Source organism: Homo sapiens, chromosome 4 (assembly GCF_000001405.40).
Source record: "Homo sapiens chromosome 4, GRCh38.p14 Primary Assembly".
Taxonomy (NCBI): Eukaryota; Metazoa; Chordata; class Mammalia; order Primates; family Hominidae; genus Homo; species Homo sapiens.
Window position 1 is genome coordinate 75,700,599 of NC_000004.12, and position 19,650 is coordinate 75,720,248.

Here is a 19,650-nt window from a genome sequence, read left to right on the forward strand (position 1 = left end):
TTAGTAGAGGCAGGGTTTCACCATGTTGGTCAGGCTGGTCTCAAACTCCTGACCTCGTGATCCGCCTGCCTTGGGCTTCCAAAGTGCTGGGATTACAGGCATGAGCCACTGCGCCCAGCTGAGACCATTTCATTTTATGGTTAAAAAAAAAAAGAAAAAGAAAAGGATGCTGAAAATACACTATTAGTATTTATTAAGATGACCCTTAAAAGGGAGAAAAGGATTAAACAAAATCAGACTAATAATTTTATTTTTTTGAGGTGGAGTTTCACTCTTGTTGACCAGGCTGGAATGCAATGGTGCGATCTCAGCTCACTGCAAACTCCACCTACTGGGTTCAAGCGATTCTCCTGCCTCAGCCTCCGGAGTAGCTGGGATTACAGGCATGCACCACCACACCTGCTATATATTTTTTTGTATTTTTAATAGAGACAGGGTTTTACCATGTTGGTCAGGCTGGTTTCAAACTCCTGACCTCAGGTGATCCGCCCACTTCAGCCTCCCAAAGTGCTGGGATTACAGGCGTGAGCCACCACGCCCAGCCAGACTAATAATTTTAAACCATTTGGTTTAAATAAAATATTTTTCTTATCCCCCCCAATTTGCAAAAAGGAATCTTGTTGACTTGGGACAACACTGTCATCTGGACTCCACAAATAATATTCTAGTTACTGCATTTATATTTGTTTTATATTTCATTTATTTCTTTTTGAGACACAGTCTCACTCTTGCTGCCCAGGCTGGAGTGCAGTGGCACTATCTAAGCTCAATGCAACCTCCGCCTCCTGAGTAGCTGGGATTACAGGCGTGTGCCACCACACCTGGCTAATTTTGTTTGTTTGTTTTCACATGGAGTTTCGCTCTTGTTGCCCAGACTGGAGGGCAATGGCACGGATCTTGGCTCGCAGCAACCTCCGCCTCCCAGGTTCAAGAGATTCTCCTGCCTCAGCCTCCTGAGTAGCTGGGATTACAGGCATGCACCACCATGCCCGGCTAATTTTGTATTTTTAGTAGGGATGGGGTTTCACCATGTTGGTCAGGCTGGTTTCAAACTCCTGACCTCAGGTGATCCGCCCACCTCAGCCTCCCAAAGTGCTGGGATTGCAGGCGTGACCTGCTGTGCCCAGCCTGTTTTATATTTTAGCTACTTGTTTGAAGGCTTTTGGACTCAAACACAAATACTGATACAATTTTGGAGAATAATTTTATCCACTTATATTCTACCCACTGGAATACTCTATAGATGAGAAAGATAGACCTTGAAGAGGTCCAGAATATGCCACTATGGCATAAAAACTATTTCAAGCAGAAGGTATTTGAGCTTCTGGGATCTTACCTATCTAAAAGCAGAGTCTCCCAGTATAATTCAATTGTTATCAGTTCCCTCCCTGGGAGCAACCAGGGAAGACTGGCTCTTATCACAGAAGATGAGATGTCTCCATACCACACCTAAACAGATATTGTCACAGAACTACCATATCTCCCATGTATTCTTCTAAAGGCCCTTTTAAATCATTTATTTTCCTATAAGTGCCGTTCCCCCCTACCTTAAGATGGTATATAAACCCCCCAATTTTTTTTTTTTTTTTTTTTTTGAGACAGGGTCTGGCTCTGTTGCCCAGGCTGGAATGCAGTGACACAATCTTGGCTTACTGTAATTTCCATCTCCCAAGTAGCCGGGCTTACGGGCACATGCCATCACACCCGGCTAATTCTTATATTTTTTGTAGAGATGGGGTTTTGCCATGTTGCCTAGGCTGGTCTTGAACTCCTGAGCTCAAGCAACCCACCGCCTGGGTCTCCCAAAGTGCTGGGATTACAGGCGTGAGCCACCACGCCTGGACCCCCGAATTCTAACCACCTCTTTGAGTTACATTGTTCTGTGAACTCCTGTAAATGCATTAACTAAGATGTACAATTGAATTTTGTCTTTTCTCTTGCTAGTCTATCTTTTGTCATAATTTGCAGGCCCCCAGGAATGGAAACTAAGAGGTTAAAGGAACAGTTTTTCTATACAGGTGCAACTATAGAAGCAAGCATTATGCATGGTTACATTAGCATCACTATTTGTGATGAATCTATAGCAAGGCAATTACTGCCATGGATGTCCCTACCTATGCCATCAACCCTGGAATTTGGAAATAAGAAAGGCATCAGACACAGCAGAGATTTGGCAAGGGACATGAAAGAGACTTCCAAATGCTTCCATGAAGTAAACTGCACTATAACCAGACTGCAATGTAAATATATCAACAGAAGGAGTCAGTGAGACCCTAAAAGGATAAGAAGGAGCCCAGGGAACAGCTTTGGAGTGATTTCTGGATGCATTATCTGGGGCAAGGGCCACTTGGCCACTCCATTGGAATACTATGATCTCCATATCAGGGAGGAGTCGAGGCTCCTAAACTCCCTCAGCTGAAGGACACTCCTTAAAATCACCCACATTCTTTTGTTGCGATGCTAAGTAGGCACTCAGTAAATGCTTACTGAATGCATGAAGAAGGCTCCTCCAGGCAGCCTTCTGATTGTAATCTGGCTTCCCTGTAACTTCCTATGGGGAGAATGTGCAGACAGGAGGAGTCTCTTCCTTCAGACAGTTAACATTTCTTCTTACACATTAACAAATGATCAAACACGAGTGTGGTGCAAGGTTCAGATAGCAAAAGCAGATTTCACAGGGCTTAAACAGTGTCTGCACCAGTGATGAGAACCAGACAGCACTCCAGGACCAGACACTGCGGAGGCAGCAGCCAGCACCCCACAACACTCCACCTCTCAAAAGTCCCCCAATCCACACCACTTACCCTTAGTCACGTATGCAACTTCTACTGGTTTCCCCCAACCCCTAGACCTTTAATTGAATAAATATTTACTAAATGTCTACAAAGGGCCAGTCCTAAAATGTATACGACTGTGAAATAGACAAACAGGGTTTTTAGCCAGTCCTAAAATGTATACGACTGTGAAATAGACAAACAGGGTTTTTAGCCTCTTGAGGATTGAGGTCCCCTCAGCTGGGGATACAAGATAGCAAGAGGTGAGTTTAAGACAATGGATAAAAGCAATGCTAGAGGCATATGGGAGCACCAGATTCTGACAGAGTGGGAGAGAAGTCTTCCAGACTGAAAACTGAAGAATAAGCAGGCACCAGGATGTGGATGGAAAATGATCCTGAGCTTACCTTTCATTCATAATTTCCTTCCTTCTTTGGCTATCTATTTGATTCATAAGATGTTTCCAAGGTCATTTCATTTTCTTATTATTAGAGTTTAATTAAATGATAATTTAACCTAAATATAATTTCATTTTACCACGATGTTTCTAGGGTATCTCAGAGTAAATGCTTCTTTTGATTGATAAATAAATTTTAGATCTTAAGCAAAATGCATAGTCCTCTGTAATGTCTATGAAAGGTTTTTTTTTTTTTCTTTTTTTTTTTGAGACAGAGTCTCGCTCTGTCGCCAGGCTGGAGTGCCGTGGTGTGGTCTTGGCTCACTGCAACCTCCGCCTCCTGGGTTCAAGGGATTCTCCCGCCTCAGCCTCCCAAGTAGCTGGGATTACAGGCACGCGCCACCATGCCCGGCTAATTTTTGTATTTTTAGTAGAGATGGGGTTTCACCATGTTGGCCAAGCTGGTCTTGAACTCCTGACCTCATGATCTGCCCACCTCAGCCTCCCAAAGTGCTGGGATTACAGGCGTGAGCCCCCGCCGGACCTGTTTGTTTGGTTTTTGTTTTGAGACAAAGTCTTGCTCTGTCACCCAGGCTAGAGTGCAGTGGTGCTATCATGGCTCACTGCAGCTTGGAACTCCTGGGCTCAAGTGATCCTCGGGCCTCAGCCTCCTGAGTAGCTGGGACCACAGGCTTGAGCCACCATGCCCAGGTAATTTTTAAAATTTTTTATAGAGACAGGGTCTCACTATGATGCCCAGGATGGTCTCGAACTCCTAGGCTCAAGTAATCCTCCCGCCTCGGCCTCCCAAAGTACTAGAATAGTAGGTGTGAGCCACTGTGATGGCCCAATATATTTTTTTAATTTAATTTAATTTTTTTGAGACAGAGCCTTGCTCTGTCACCCAGGCTGGAGTGCAGTGGCGCAATCTCGGCTAACGGCAACCTCCACCTCCTGGGTTCAAGCGATTCTTCTGCCTCAGCCTCCCAAATAGCTGGGATTACAGTTGTGTGTCATCATGCCCGGTTAATTTTTGTATTTTTAGTAGAGACGGGGTTTTGCCGTGTTGGCCAGGCTGGTCTCAAACTCCTGACCTCAGGTGACCCACCCGCCTTGGCCTCCCAAAGTGCTAGGATTACAGGCGTGAACCACCACACCCAGTCTTAATTTTTTATCTCTAGGCCTGCCCTGAGATTTAAGCCTGTTCAACCCACAACCCAGGACAGCTTTGAATGTGGCCACAAATTCATATGCTTTCTTAAAACATTGAGATTTTTTTTTTAGTTCATCGGCTATCATTAGTTTTAGTGTATTTTATGTGTGACCCAGGGAAGCCAAAATATTGGACACCCCTGATCTAAACCCATTGCCACACTTGGGGAAAAACATGCCCAGAGGGGATAATCTTTCCCCTCCCCAGTGGAGGGCTCAGGTCCATTAAACTGCCTGACCTCCCAGCATTCGGGTTCCTCAGAGATGCAGATAGCCCATTTCACAAAACAGAATGCCCACAAAAGCCTGGGCTGCGCCTACAGGCTACCTGGGAGGTACAGGCCCACACAGAGAAACAAGAGGTGGCAACCTACAGTAAATCATGTTTTACCATTTCAACAGAAGTCTGGAATTATAGACCAGAGCCATATTAAGTCAAATTCCTACTTTCCAGTGGATTTTCCTGTGTATTGTCTCTAGTCGCTTCCCTGTGGTGATCAGATGTAAAGCTTATTTTGAAAAATAAAAGGCCTGCACAGGTCAGGGAGTGGGTTGGGAGAGCCAGAGAAGAGCACATTCCACCCTACAGGAGGCCTGGAGGAGGGAGGCCTTCCAGGAAAGATGGATGGCAGGGAAGGCAGGCTGGGAAGGAGAGTGAGGGACAAAGGCATCAGGGCTGAGTAGTGGAAAGGCCGTCCCTCCAGAAGTTCTGCCACAGCCACATTCAGGATCTCCTAAGTGAGCTAGGCGGGGGCCTTAAAAAGAACGGGTAGGAGGTTAACACACTTACTGTGGAAGTGGGCTATGAAGAAAGAACAGGTGTAACAGCCTCTCAACATCTATAGACCAGCAAATGCCATAAAATTTTACTGCCCTTAAAACTCATGGATAATATTTATTTAGTGAGCATAGGAACAGTGACTGGAATAATGAATACTTGCTATGTGTCAGGCACTATTTCTAGTTCTTCCCATACACAATATATATACATATACATATATATGTATACACACACATAACATTATATATGTCTCCACTCATTTAATCCTCTCAACAATCCTATTGTTACCAGAAAGGAGTGACACTATGAGGTTGGTTCTATTATTATTTCCATTTTACAGATGATGATATAGGCTCACAGAGGTTAAGTAACCAGATGTAACTCATAGGTGAGTGCTTTGGAAACTCTACTAAGATCCTACTTACACTTGAACTTCAGCTATTCTTATAAACCTGGATATTGAGGCAGCATTGTGTTTTTGTTTTTGCTTTTCCTTTGGTAGATATAGGGCCTCACTATGTTGACCAGGCTGTCTTTAAGTCCTGGCCTCAAGTGATCCTCCCGCCTTGGCCTCCCAAAGTGCTGGGATTACTGGGCCATGCTGCTCTATTGTACTCTTGTATACTGTTATGGATTCTGGAGCTAGATTGGGCTTGAATCCTGAGCTCTGCCACTTAGCAGCTGTGGTGTGACCTTAGCCGAATGAGCATAATGAAATCAGCCTGACCAACATGGAGAAACCCCATGTCTACTAAAAATACAAAATTAGCGGGGCGTGGTGGCGCATGCCTGTAATACCAGCTACTCAGGAGGCTGAGGTAGTAGAATCGCTTGAACCTAGGAGGCAGAGGTTGCGGTGAGCCGAGATCGTGCCATTGCACTCCAGGCTGGGCAACAAGAGCGAAACTCTATCTCAAAAAAAAAAAAAAAAAGAATGAGCATAATGATACTGCCTACTCTACAGGGTGGTTATGAAGATTATATTAGCTAATATATGCAAAGTTATTAGAACAATGTCTACAATATGGTCAAAGTTGACCACCACTAAAGGTCTATGTTAAATGACAAGTAGCAAATCGGAGTGGAAAGGACTATTATGCATAGCAAGGGGAACTGCTAACAACCTTAACAGCAAAAGGGAAAAGAGTGGCCAGGCTTGGTGGCTCATGCCTATAATCCCAGCACTTTGAGAGGCTGAGGCGGGCGGATCACCTGAGGTCAGGAGTTCGAGAGCAGCCTGACCAACATGGAGAAACCCTGTCTCTACTAAAAATACAAAATTAGCTGGGCGTGGTGGCGCATGCCTGTAATCCCAGCTACTCGGGAGGCTGGGGCAGGGAGGTGGAAGTTGCAGTGAGCCAAGATCGCACCACTGCACTCCAGCCTGGGCAACAAGGGCGAAACTCCGTCTTGAAAAAAAAAAAAAAAAAACAGAAAACACGGAAAATAGTATAATAAAAGACAGGTATGTACGGGACATGTGACCCTCCAGCCCTCAAATAAAAACTAGACATTCACAACCAGGTTGGGATAAAGAAATTGACCTGAGATAATGTCTACAACACTTAAGACAATTATCGGCAGCGCCGTGGCTCACGCTTGTAATCCCAGCACTTTGGGAGGCCGAGGTGGGCGGATCACGAGGTCAGGAGATCAAGGCCACGGTGAAACCCCGTCTCTACTAAAAATACAAAAAATTAGCCGGGCATGGTGGCGGGAGCCTGTAGTCCCAGCTACTCGGAGAGGCTGAGGCAGGAGAATGGCGTGAACCTGGGAGGCGGAGGTTGCAGTGAGCCGAGACTGCGCCACTGCACTCCAGCCTGGGTGACAGAGCGAGACTCAAAAAAAAAAAAAAAAAGACAATTATCAGTTTTTAAGTTTTTGCTATAAAGGATCATTAATGGTTAGCTTTATTATAATCCGGTGGTTTAACAAATCAATGTAGAAAAATGTTGATTGGGCCTTAGTCCTGTCAAAGATAAATTTTATGAAATTAAAATGAACTTGCATTTTTCAAACTTTGTGGCATTTACTTAGAGCAGAACTGGATTTACTGAAAGCAGAATATATTATTCAATATTACACATTAATTTTCAGAATAAAAATGTAAACATTAATTTAATTAACTCATTGGGTTTTTTAAACTACTGTTACTACAAATGACCTGCTTTTCAGCCAATATATACATAAAATGAGATTTATTTCATAGTAAATTCCATGTATATGTAATTAACAGACCCTCTATAACCAACTATGTGCATCGACAAAGTGTTACTTACTGTGCTGTGTGCTGAAATGGTTGCCCTCTGCTAGAGGGATAGGTATTGCCTTAGGGAAGTACCCTTTTCAATTTCAAACCAGAAAACTAGGAACTGTCAGGGAAGGTGTTAAGAAGGCTGTCAGGACCTTTTCCTTGCCCTGTCTCTTGGCCTAGTCTTGAGGAATCTAGGTGAATACCCTTCTTCCCCACTAGACTTGGCTCTTACAAAGAACTTGGCAAACATGTTTTGTTCTACTCTAGCCCCTACCATCAAGCCTGGCTAATGATTCCTTGGATGCTGGGAGTAAAGAGGGCCCAGTATGCATGAATAGCCCAAGACCTAGGAAGACAGGGATCCCCGTGAGCTGCAGAGGGTAAACAAATTCTATAAGCCACATGATCTTGATTGACGTCACTCTCACTCATAGAATTTATTTCTCCTAGCAGCTAGAACCCAGCTCAGCTGTAGACTAGATAATAATTCACAGCAACTGGTCCACAGCCTTAAAGGGGGAAGCAGTGCCTCCTAGAGGCAATTATGCTGGTGGAAGCAGTAATTTGTGAGACCTGAGGAGATGGTCCATACATCTTGGGGAATACAATAATGATAATATGGTCCGGTTGAACCTCTCCACTGGGATCTTCTCCATTAAGTTACAAAGTTTGGGCTGGGCATGGTGGCTCATGCCTGTAGTCCCAGCACTTTGGGAGGCCAAGGCAGGAGGATCGCTTGCACTGAGGAGTTTGAGATCAGCCTGGGCAGCAGAGTGAGACTCTCTACAAAAATAAAAAACAAAAATAGCTGGGTCCAGGCACAGTGGCTCATGCCTGTAATCCCAGTACTTTGGGAAGCCAAGGCAGGAGGACTGCTTGAGCCCAGGAATTCAAGAACAGCCTGGGCAACATGGTGAAACCCTGTCTATAAAAAATACAAAAAAATAGCCAGGCATGGTGGCGCACACTTGTAGTTTCAGGTACTTGGGAGGCCGAGGTGGGAGAATAACCTGAGTCCAGGAGTTGGGAGCTAAAGTGAGTCATAACCAGTCACTGCACTCCAGCCTGGGCAACAGAGAGAACTTGTCTGAAACAATAACAACAACAACAAAACAACCAGCCAGGCAGGGCATGGTGGCTCACACCTGTAATCCCAGCACTTTGGGAGGCTGAGGCAGGGGGATCACAAGGTCAGGAGTTAGAGGCCAGCCCGGCCAAGATGGTGAAACCCTATCTCTACTAAAAATACAAAAATTAGCCAGGTGCGGTGGTTGGCCCCTGTAATCTCAGCTACTCAGGAGGCTGAGGAAGGAGAATCGCTTGAACCCTGGAGGCAGAGGTTGCAGTGAGCTGAGATTGCACCACCACACTCCAGCCTGGGCAACAGGGTGAGACTCCGTCTCAAAAAAAAAAAAAAAAAAAAAAACCTACTACGAAAAAAACCGACCAGCCAGGTGTAGTAGCACATGCCTATAGTCTCAACTACTCTGTAGGCTGAGGTACAACGATTGCTGGAGCCCAGGAGGTAGAGGCTGTAGTGAGCCATGATCATGCCACTGCACTCCAGCCTGGGCAACAGAGCAAGACTCTATCTCAGAAAGAAAGAAAAAGGAAGGAAGGAAGGATTGATTTGTGGTTTCATTTTTATTTAAAGAATGCAGTTGTGTGTGTGTGGTGGGGCGGGTTTCAGAGATGGGGTTAGGGGGTCGTGTCTCATTATGTTGCCCAGGCTGGACTCTAACTCCTGGGCTCAAGGGATCCTTCCACCTCAGCCTCTGGAGTAGCTAGGACTACAGGCACACATCACTGCACCCAGCTCAAATAATGCAGTTTTTTACAGTATCATCTATTCCAAGGGTTGCTAACCTGTTCCCTTCAACTCCATCAACTCACTCTGGGTCCTCACTTGGGTAAGAATAGACCAGCTCTGATGGCCCTTGGCTTGAATTTATTGAAAGGGTATAGACTAAGGTCAGCTAATTCCATTTAATGGGAAAAAAGAGCTTATTGAACATATGACCACATACTAGGTAATGTAATGTGCTAGGTACCAAGCTATTACTGAATGTTAATGATACCTTCTATAAATGACAAGGTGTGGGATGTGTTTGGACTGCTTTATTTTTTCTAGGGACAGAGTCTCACTATGTTACCAAAGCTGGTCTTGAATTCCTGGGCTCAAGCAATCCTCCTGCCTTGACCTCCCAAAGTGCTGGGATTACAGATGTGAGTACCACACCCAGCCTGCTTCTCGAGTTGGTGGATGACGACATGAGAAACCAAGAGGACTGTCTCTCCTTGTCTCCATGTACTCTGACAAGATTGCAGCTTTGTCACAGGCCAGAAACAACTGGGAAACACTTCCTCTATAAGTGGGCCTCTGTAATCTATTGGTTACTTTTCCACATCTCATAAATTATGTACTTCCCCAAGTGAGCTAACTTAGCTGGGAAGTAAGCAAAATTGACCCTTTAACAATAGGGGTTTGAACTTTCTCCCACAAGAATACAAGCTCCACAAAAGCAAACATTTTTGTCTGTTTTAATCATTGCTAAATCCCCAGTGGCATAGTAGCTGCTCACTAGCCGCTTATTTATTTGTCGAATAAATAAATGATGAAGCCAGGATTCAAATTTAAGTCTGTCTGGCTTTATTTATTTATTTTTCAGGAACGGGGTCTCACTTTGTTGCCCAGGCTAGAGTGCAGTAGTGTAATAATAGCTCACTACATCCTCAAACTGCTAGGCTCAAGCAATCCTCCTGTCTCAGCCTCCCACGTAGCTGGAACTACAGGTGCACACCACTAGGCCTGGATAATTTTTTTTTTTAAGAGATGGGGGTCTCACTATGTTGCCCAGGCTGGTCTTGAAATCCTAGCTTCAGGCAATCCTTCTGCCTTGGCCTCCCAAAGTGCTGGGATTATAAGCAGGAGACACCGTGCCTGGCCCTGTCTGGCTTTATTTTATTTTATCCTTTCTCACCATTCCTATTCAACCTGTCTGGCTTTAAAGAGTAATTTTCAGCTGGGTGCAGTGGCTCACGCCTGTAATCCTAACACTTTGGGAGGCCAAGACGGACAGATCACCTGAGGTCAGGAGTTCAAGACCAGCCTGGCCAACATGGTGAAACCCCATCTCTACTAAAATACAAAAATTAGCTGGGCATGATGGCGGGTGCCTGTAATCCCAGCTACTTGGGAGGCTGAGGTGGGAGAATCTCTTGAACCCAGGAGACAGTGGTTGCAGTGAGCCAAGATTGTGCCACTGCACTCCAGCCTGGGCGGTTGAGTGAGACCCCATCTCAAAGAAAAAAAAAAAAAAAGACTAATTTTCTTCCTACTGTCTGTCTCTCTTATAATTATTCTCATCACCTACCATATAGTGTGAGGAAAATAAAAAAAGAATAAAGGAAAGGGGCAGGGCATGGTGGCTCACGCCTATAATCCCAGCACTTTGGGAGGCCAAGGTGGGCGGATCACCTGAGGTCAGGAGTTTGAGACCAGCCTGGCCAACGTGGTGAAATCCTGCCTCTACTAAAAATACAAAAATTAGCTGGGCATGGTGGTGCGTGCCTGTAATCCCACCTACTCAGGAGGCTGAGGCAGGAGAACTGCTTGAATCCAGGAGGCGGAAGCTGCAGTGAGCCAAGATCATGCCATTTCACTCCAGCCTGTGCAACAACAGCAAAACTCCATCTCAAAAAATAAATAATATAATATAATATAAAGGAAAGGAAGAATGAAAGGGAAGGAGAAAGAGATGGTACCAAAGAGGATGGGATGAAATTCAGGCTCGGGCATCAGCTGCAACATGGAGCCCCTTGGGTCTCTCCTCCCTAGCAAACTAGTAGTTTTGTTGGGGTTCCAGATGACATTTCTCTTCCACAACTGCTTCTACTTAATTTGTTCCCTAAGTCTGTTGTTATTTGTGATTATAAAAAAGAAAAGCTGGAAATTATGGAACAATTGAAAGAAGAAATAATCACACAAAACCCTTCCATCAAAATACAACTACTGTTAGCAGATTTTGAATGTCCTCAACACAAAGAAATGATAACTGTTTGAGGTGATAGATACGCTAATTACCCTAATTTGATCATTATACATTGTATACATGTATTGAAATGTCATATTGTATCCCATAAATATGTACGATTATGTGCCAATTTAAACAATTTTATATATATACATATACATATATATCTACTCTTAGTTTATATCTTACTACATTTCCTTCTAAGCTTTTTCCTGTGTAAATATTTTAAACTTAGCTGGGATCATTCAGTAATTTCATATCTTGATTTATTCCTTTTTTACCATCATTTTTAATTTCTGTCATATACTAACATTATTTTGAGGTACATGATCTCATCATACTCAATGTAAAATTCTCAGTTAAATAAAGTGAGATTTTACTGCCAACTGGTATTAAATTTTCATGTTTTTCACATTGATTCTGTGAGAAGAGAATGTTAAAATTCCAGTTCTTACAACTGACAAGAGGAAAGATTTTTACAGTTCCCTCTGTCAAATATTTTTTAAACTGCAAAGAATCAATACAACATATGATTGTGTTTCTTTATAAAGCTGAGCAAATGCCATTATTCTCTGAGTATTTTCCCCTCCTAGGTCCCTCTAGATTACGATCACTGGGAGAATAAATGAATAGCCATTAACCCCAAAAGTGAACAATTATCTTGAACTATAAGGGAGGTGAAAATATCCAAATAGAAAGAAATTTGAATCAGGCTTTTTACTTAATATACACATAATGTTGTCTTCATCTAGTATATAAGACCATTCCATAAAGAGTTCTGTAGATTAATACAGTATGGAAGTAGTCTTAGTTATATAGCTGAAGGGAGTGACAAAAGATTTAAGAGAATATAGAATTTCTAAAACCAGCAAAAGGAACTATAGTATAGTGACTAGACTAGAGTTGCAGACCTGTTATGCTATTTACTAGCTATGTGACCAAAAGTGATCAAAAAACAAAACAAAACAAATAAACAAAACCCTATTCCCATAGGTTAGAGGTGGGTATTTTTAAGTATCAATCATAATTCAATTTAATCCTTACACCAATGCTATTAGGTTGGCAAGTTGCTTACCTAGTTTTTATCCTCCCTTCTATTGAGAGAATATGTCCATATCAAAACAAAACAAGAAAATAATTCATTTCCCAGGCACTCTGGCAGCTAAGAATGGACACAGTTCTTAACAAAATAGGTGGAAGTTGAAAGATGGAGATTCCTGGAAAGCTTTTCATACAGGAGGCAGACTGGCAACCACCAATGATTCAGGCAAGAATATGAAAGGATGCTAAAATTGGAGAGTGAAAGTTTGATGAGAAACAGGATATTTATACAGTATTAAAGCATGTTCCCAAATGATACTTACTAATTACAAGGGGAAAAAATAGTAACTGTACAATGGAGAAGACCGGTAGACAGTACTTTAAACTATTAATCAAAAGTGATATCACTGGCAGGGAGTGGTGGATCCTGCCTGTAATCTTGGCACTTTGGGAGGCCAAGGTGGAGGATTGCTTTAGGCCAGGAGTTCAAGACCAGCCTGGGCAACACAGCGAGACTCTCAACAGAAATCAAAATAAAATAAAATACATTAGTCAGGCATGTTGACAAGTGCCTGTAGTCCTAGCGACTCAGGAGGCTGAAGCAGGAGGATCCCTTGAGCCCAGGAATTTGAAGTCACAGTGAGCTATGAATGGGGCACTATACTGCAGCCCAGGCGACACAGTAAGACCCCATCTCAAAAAACAAAAACAAACCAAAAAAGTGGTAACACTAATAATGGGAAAAATAGATGTCATATACTTTCTGAGAGGATATACTATGAGAAGGACAGCACTTCTGTGATATTCTAATTGTGAGGCAAGCTCAGACAAACCTAAATTGAGGGGCATTCTACAAAATAACTGACCAATACTGTACTCTCCAAAACATCAAGATTATGAAAGACACAGAAAGATGGAGTAACTATTACAGATTAAAGACAGCTAAAGAGACATGACATCTAAACACAACATATAATCCTGAATTGGATCCTAGACCAAAAGAAAAAAACTTTTTCCCCAAAAAGGAAATTAGTGGGACTACTGCCAAAATTTGAATAAGGCCTGTAGATTAATTAGATAATGGCAATGTATCAGTGTTCATTTCCTGGTTTTGATTATTAAAATCATTGAGAAAATACTTTTGTCTTTAGTAATTAGACACTGAAGTATTTAGGTGGTCAAGTGACATCATGCCTACAAATTCCTCTCACATATTCAGGGGGAAAATATATACATTTAAAGAAAAGAAATGATGCTGGGCACAGTGGCCCACGCCTGTAACCCCAGCACTTTGGAAGGCCGGGGCGGGCAGATCACGTGAGGTCAGGAGTTCGAGACCAGCCTGGCCAACATGGCGAAACCCCATCTCTACTAAAAATACAAAAAATTAACTGGGCGTGGTGGCGAGTGCCTGTAATTCCAGCTACTCAGGAGGCAGAGGCAGGAGAATCACTTGAACCCGGGAGGCGAAGGTTGCAGTGAGCCAAGATCGCACCACCGCACTCCAGCCTGGGCAACAAAAGTGAAACTCCATGTCAGAAAAAAAAGAAAAGAAATGATAAAGCAAATGGGGTAAAAAGGTTCACCTTTTGCAATCTCTCTGCAATTCTGAAATTAGTTCAATATAAAAAGTTAAAAGGGTAGAAGAATGGGAAAGGCACACTCATTTGTAGATACTTTTTCCCCTTCACCTTTGCCCCTTTTCTTGCCCAGAATAAGAAATGTGATGCTGGAGATAGAACAGTCAGCCTGTAACCTCAGGCCAAGGATGCCTGCACAGAAAAATTCCAGCTTGCATCCAAGCTGGCATCCTACAGCCTCTGTTGTTAGTCCTGCACTGCCTACCTCCTAATTTATTCAAGACACTCTTTAGTTTGGTGTTCTATTGCAGCACGTGGTAATCCAATTGATACAGCAAAATTAAATAATTTGCCCAAGGTTACAGCAGTCCAAAAGTGGCAACATCTGTCTAGGTTTGCAAAGAAAACATGCTTTTCTGGTCTGTATCATGCTGAAGTCTAGGCTTCTCTCTCTGTGAAACAGGAATAAGAATTTCTAGCAGTCCAGAACGAAAAACACACAGAAGACTGCCTATGGCAGGGCCTGGCACAGAGGACAGAGGCTCAAATGTTTGCCGAATCAATAATTCAAGAAACCAAGCACATCTGTTTTCAGTATTCTGGTATACTGAGCTATTTTAAGTACTGAAGGAAAAAAAAACTGTATTTATGTGGGTGCAATACTCTAGCTGCTGCAGATATTAGTCAGCAATTTCATTCAGTTTCTTGGATCTCTCTCACACTCGATCCTCACTGTATCCTTCACAGAAATCCTTCTACCCTCTCTTTGTCCATCAGCTCCTGCAACTCATGTCCCCATCAAAGGGGCAGAGTATGGATCCCATGTGAAAAGCTCTCTGAACACAGTGGCTTACTCAGCTGGGGCAGGCAAGTGTTAGACCACAAGAAGGACCATCCTTCCCAGGTTGTCAGAAAAAAATCAAAACTGCTGCACCAGGAAGGCCTAGCCTCTGGCCAGAGCTAAGCAGCTATCCAGAGGCTGAGGCTCAAAAAGCTTCATGCAACAGAGTTAAAGGTGCAGGAAAGAAGACACTGAAAGCTAATCAACCCATCAGCCATGCCCCGGGGCTTTTCTGAAGTTGATAGCAATCACTAATATATGTTAAAATGAAATGTGTTAAATACTTCCTTTCACTGATTGGTTTTAAATGGGACAAATTACGAACTTTTTAAAAAACAAAGATCCTGGTATTTATTACACCATAAATACCAAAATACCAGTATAGTCATTTTTCTCTGACCCAGATACTAGAACGAGACCTAGATAGCAGCACCCTCACATGAAGGAGACCGGCTGCTGCAATAACCTATACAGACCTTAGATTCTGAGCTTTTTAGGAGTCAATACTCACATACTTGGGAAAGAGAGAGCACATCTAGGACTAGGGTCTAGGTCACTTTGGGTCACAGACTTTGTGCCCCTGTCCTGAAAAGGTCATGTGTGTAGGTATTGGAGGTGGGGAGAGGGCAGTGGGAAGGGCAAGTTGGAGCTTTTCTAGTTCTTTTTTTTCCCCTGGAGACACAGTATTGCTCTGTCACTCAGGCTGGAGTGCAGTGGTGCAATCTCAGCTCACTGCAACCTCCGCCTCACAGGTTCAAGAGATTCTTGTGTCTCGGCCTCCCAAGTAGCTAGGATTACAGGCACGTGCCATGATGCCCAGCCAGCTAATTTTTTGTATTTTTAGTAGAGATGAGGTTTCACCATGTTGGCCAGGCTAGTCTCAAACTCTTGAGCTCAGGTGATCTGCCCACCTCAGCCTCCCAAAGTGCTGGAATTACAGGCGTGAGCCACCACACCCGGCCCTCTTCTAGTTCTTGTTTTTTTTTGTTTTTCTTTGTTTTGTTTTTGTTGTTGTTTTTGGAGACAGAGTTTCCCTCTTGTCACCCAGGCTGGAGTGCAGTGGCGCGATCTCGGCTCACCGCAACCTCCGCCTCCCAGGTTCAAGCGATTCTCCTGCCTCAGCCTCCCGAATAGCTGGGATTACAGGCATGCACCACCATGCCCAGCTAATTTTGTATTTTTAGTAGACACGGGGTTTCTCCATGTTGGTCAGGCTGGTCTCGAACTCCCAATCTCAGGTGATCCACCCGCCTTGGCCTCCCAAAGTGCTGGGATTACAGGCGTGAGCCACTGTGCCCGGCCTCTTCTAGTTCTTTATACCACCCACAACTAGTATGGTGTTTGTGCGATCCTGTAAGGAAGCATCAGGGGACAGAGGCCAAACAGAAGACTTCTCTTCTTTGCCTCTTTGTACTTACAATCTTCTCATCTTCCATCCCTCTGCCCATGGACTCCTAAGCTACTGGCAGAAAATTATGTCCACACCCAACTACCTCTCCTTTTCCCAAACCACCTGCCTATGCCAGTTCTGGACCCTCCACATAACATCTGCAGGTTACTGAGCCCATCCTGATTATCTCCCTAGTGTATTTGTCAATCACAGGCCATTGGCATCTTAAAGTCAACTTCATTAAAAAACTGGAATTATGGCCGGGCATGGTGACTCATGCCTGTAATCTCAGCACTTTGGGAGGTTGAGGCGGGTGGGTCTCCAGGAGTTTGAGAGCAGCCTGGGCAAGACGGTGAAACCCCATCTCTACAATAAAATAAAATAAAAATTAGCTGGGTGTGGTAGTGCACACCTGTAGTCCCAGCTACGCAGGAGGCTGAGATGGGAGGATCGCTTGAGCCTGGGAGAAGGGGGTTGCAGAGAGGGGACCTTGGAAGTGTGGGCTGACTTTGGAAAGTTTTGGTCCAGGTCAGCTACCATCTGCTGGCCTGGAGGCCCAGTCTGATCTCAAGAGACAACTCTGTCACTCCCTCCTGCCACAAATACTTGCTTGGGGCATAGCCTCAGGCAAATGACAGAGATCAGCTGCCAACTACTCTAAAATCATAGCTTGCTGGGAAGTTGGCAATGACTCCATTAAAATCATCTTAAGCTTACATGGAATCTTGGCATCACCCAATGCGAACTTCAAAGGCTTTGGTCTAGCTATTGAATGGGACAGTAAAGACTGCAACCCTACCCTGGCTATTCAGGACATACTTGTTCAGCTGGCTTGAGGTGTTGGGGGAGAGACAATGGTGTTGGGAGGTAACAGTCAAATTCTCCACAAGAAACAGTGCTAGGGCCTGGATCTGATAAACTTGTCCCTCGATAAACAGTTTTATAAAAAGTCCTTTGGCCAGGCGTGGTGGCTCATGCCTGTAATCCCAGCACTTTGGGAGGCTGAGGCGGGTGGGTCACGAGGTAAGGAGATCAAGACCATCCTGGCCAACATGGTGAAACCCCGTCTCTACTAAAAATACAAAAATTAGCTGGGTGTGCTGGCACGCACCTATAATCCCAGCTACTTGGGAGGCTGAGGCAGAATAGCTTGAACCTGGGAGGCAGAGATTGTAGTGAGCCAAGGTAGCATCACTGCACTCCAGCCTGGAGACAGAATGAGACTCCGTCGCAAAAAAAAAATTACAAATAAAATAAATAAATAAATAAAAATAAAAAGTCCTTTGGAAATGAAAATGGGATTTCCTAATTTAGGTGTTTCTTCTTTCTTTCTTTCTTTTTTTTTTTTAGGTGTTTCATAAGTAATTCTGCTTATTGTATTTTCTTAAAAATGGAAACACACCTGGGTTATACTTTCTTTAAAAAAAGGGTATAGATTTGCTTGCTGATTTAAGTACAATGCAATGTCAAATTACGTTTATTAAATAATGTAACATGATCTTTTGAATCTTTGCAGAGAGGCAGAACTTATGCTAGCATACACTAGTGATAAGGCTGGAAAAATAATTTCAAAAAAAACTGGCAAGCAGTTTAAGTACGTTAGGGGATACAGTGAGCATGTATTGTTTTTCTTATCCTGATAAACATTCTCCTGGCATACTATTCCAGATTTCCTAGGAGAAATGTGAATGTCCCTGTTCCCCAGCTCCTATGCCATATGCTTTGAGATGAGATGAAGACTTCTACTCCTTGCTTTAGAGGTGGGAATGTGACTCAAGGCCAATCAGAACATCTCAAACCTTAAACTACAGGAATTAGCTCACCACATAGGCATGCGACCCTATCAGGTAAAATGAGTCACAAGGAGACTTTTGCTGGGACTCTTAGGAGAGAGGTTGGGAGTCTTTGATGAACTTGGGCCTAGGATACTAGGACTATAGGTCCTGGCAGCCATCTTGCCCCGCATGGAGCTAGAGAAAAAAAAACAAAAACAGTTAAGGAGAGCAGAGTCCAGAAATAGTGAAAACCCAGATAACAGGGAAATTGGCTTGATACCCCAGATTAAGCCTCATCTGAAGTAACAGACTTCTCAGTAACATGAGCTAGTAGGGCTGGAGTTGAAGACTTACAGGGTAATATCTTTAAACGTTCAGTTGTTAAGAAATTGATAATACCGTGGCTCACGCCTGTAATCCCAGCACTTTGGGAGGCCGAGGCGGGCGGATCACGAGGTCAGGAGATCGAGACCATCCCGGCTAAAACGGTGAAACCCCGTCTCTACTAAAAATACAAAAAATTAGCCGGGCTTAGTGGCGGGCGCCTGTAGTCCCAGCTACTTGGGAGGCTGAGGCAGGAGAATGGTGTGAACCCGGGAGGCGGAGCTTGCAGTGAGCCGAGATCCCGCCACTGCACTCCAGCCTGGGCGACAGAGCAAGACTCCGTCTCAAAAAAAAAAAAAAAAAAAAGAAATTGATAATACCGAAGATGATCAGGGTCTCCACTCTAATCATTATTGAGTACTTACTATGTTTCAAGTACTAAGTAATATGAACGTTACAGATATTATCTAATAAAATCCCAAAAACAACCACAGGAGGCAACAATTACCATTCCTTTAAAAAAAAGTAAAGCAGGAACTCTGGGCTCTATAGCATGTGAGACACCTCAACTATTCCAAGTCCTTACCTTGGTCTCATTTCTTTTTTGAGACGGAGTTTCGCTCTTGTTGCGCAGGCTGGAGGGCAATGGCAAGATCCTGGCTCACTGCAACCTCCGCCTCCCAGTTTAAGCGATTCTCCTGCCTCAGCCTCCCGAGTAGCTAGGATTACAGGCATGCACCACCACGCTCGGCTAATTCTGTATTTTTAGTAGAGACGGGATTTCTCCATGTTGGTCAGGCTGGTCTCAAGCTCCCGACCTCAGGTGATCCACCCGCCTCGGCCTCCCAAAGTGCTGGGATTACAAGGGTGAGTTACCGTGCCCGGCCTGGTCTCATTTCTTATCTCCTGAGAGAGGTAGCTGTCCAACATTTTAGCCTCTGAATCTTTTTGTTCAAGCGAAACAGGAAGTATAAACAAATGAAACCAATCAAATGGAGCAGGATGGGGGGGCCCAGAACCCTTTTTTTTTTTTGAGAAAGGGTCTCACTCCGTCACCTGGGCTGGAGTGCAGTGGCACAATCTTGACTCACTGCAACTTCAAGCAATTCTCATGCCTCAGCCTCCTGCGCATAGCTGGAATGATAGGCCACCACGCCCAGCTACCAAAACCTTCTTTCTTGGACTCTCCTCTCCCAAGGATTTCCTAAGGCTTTTAAAAATATTTTGAGGGCGCCGGGCGCGGTGGC

The 19,650-nt window shown here is 43.9% G+C and overlaps 1 protein-coding gene across 10 annotated transcripts in view, besides 3 other annotated features; it reads right to left on the reverse strand.

The window, feature by feature from the left end:
- G3BP2 (G3BP stress granule assembly factor 2) overlaps positions 1–19,650 on the reverse strand; it is an 81,652-nt gene that overhangs the window by 57,813 nt on the left and 4,189 nt on the right. The window lies entirely within an intron of this gene.
- Positions 2,180–2,926: an enhancer, noted in NCBI's record as "OCT4-NANOG-H3K27ac hESC enhancer chr4:76627962-76628708 (GRCh37/hg19 assembly coordinates)". NCBI's record gives its function as "activates a minimal SCP1, AML or CMV promoter by ChIP-STARR-seq in naive H9 embryonic stem cells {active_cell/tissue: H9 hESC(naive)}" and the evidence as "EXISTENCE:reporter gene assay evidence [ECO:0000049][PMID:30033119]".
- Positions 4,419–5,164: an enhancer, noted in NCBI's record as "OCT4-NANOG-H3K27ac hESC enhancer chr4:76630201-76630946 (GRCh37/hg19 assembly coordinates)". NCBI's record gives its function as "activates a minimal SCP1, AML or CMV promoter by ChIP-STARR-seq in naive and primed H9 embryonic stem cells {active_cell/tissue: H9 hESC(naive and primed)}" and the evidence as "EXISTENCE:reporter gene assay evidence [ECO:0000049][PMID:30033119]".
- Positions 15,524–16,039: an enhancer, noted in NCBI's record as "H3K4me1 hESC enhancer chr4:76641306-76641821 (GRCh37/hg19 assembly coordinates)". NCBI's record gives its function as "activates a minimal SCP1, AML or CMV promoter by ChIP-STARR-seq in primed H9 embryonic stem cells {active_cell/tissue: H9 hESC(primed)}" and the evidence as "EXISTENCE:reporter gene assay evidence [ECO:0000049][PMID:30033119]".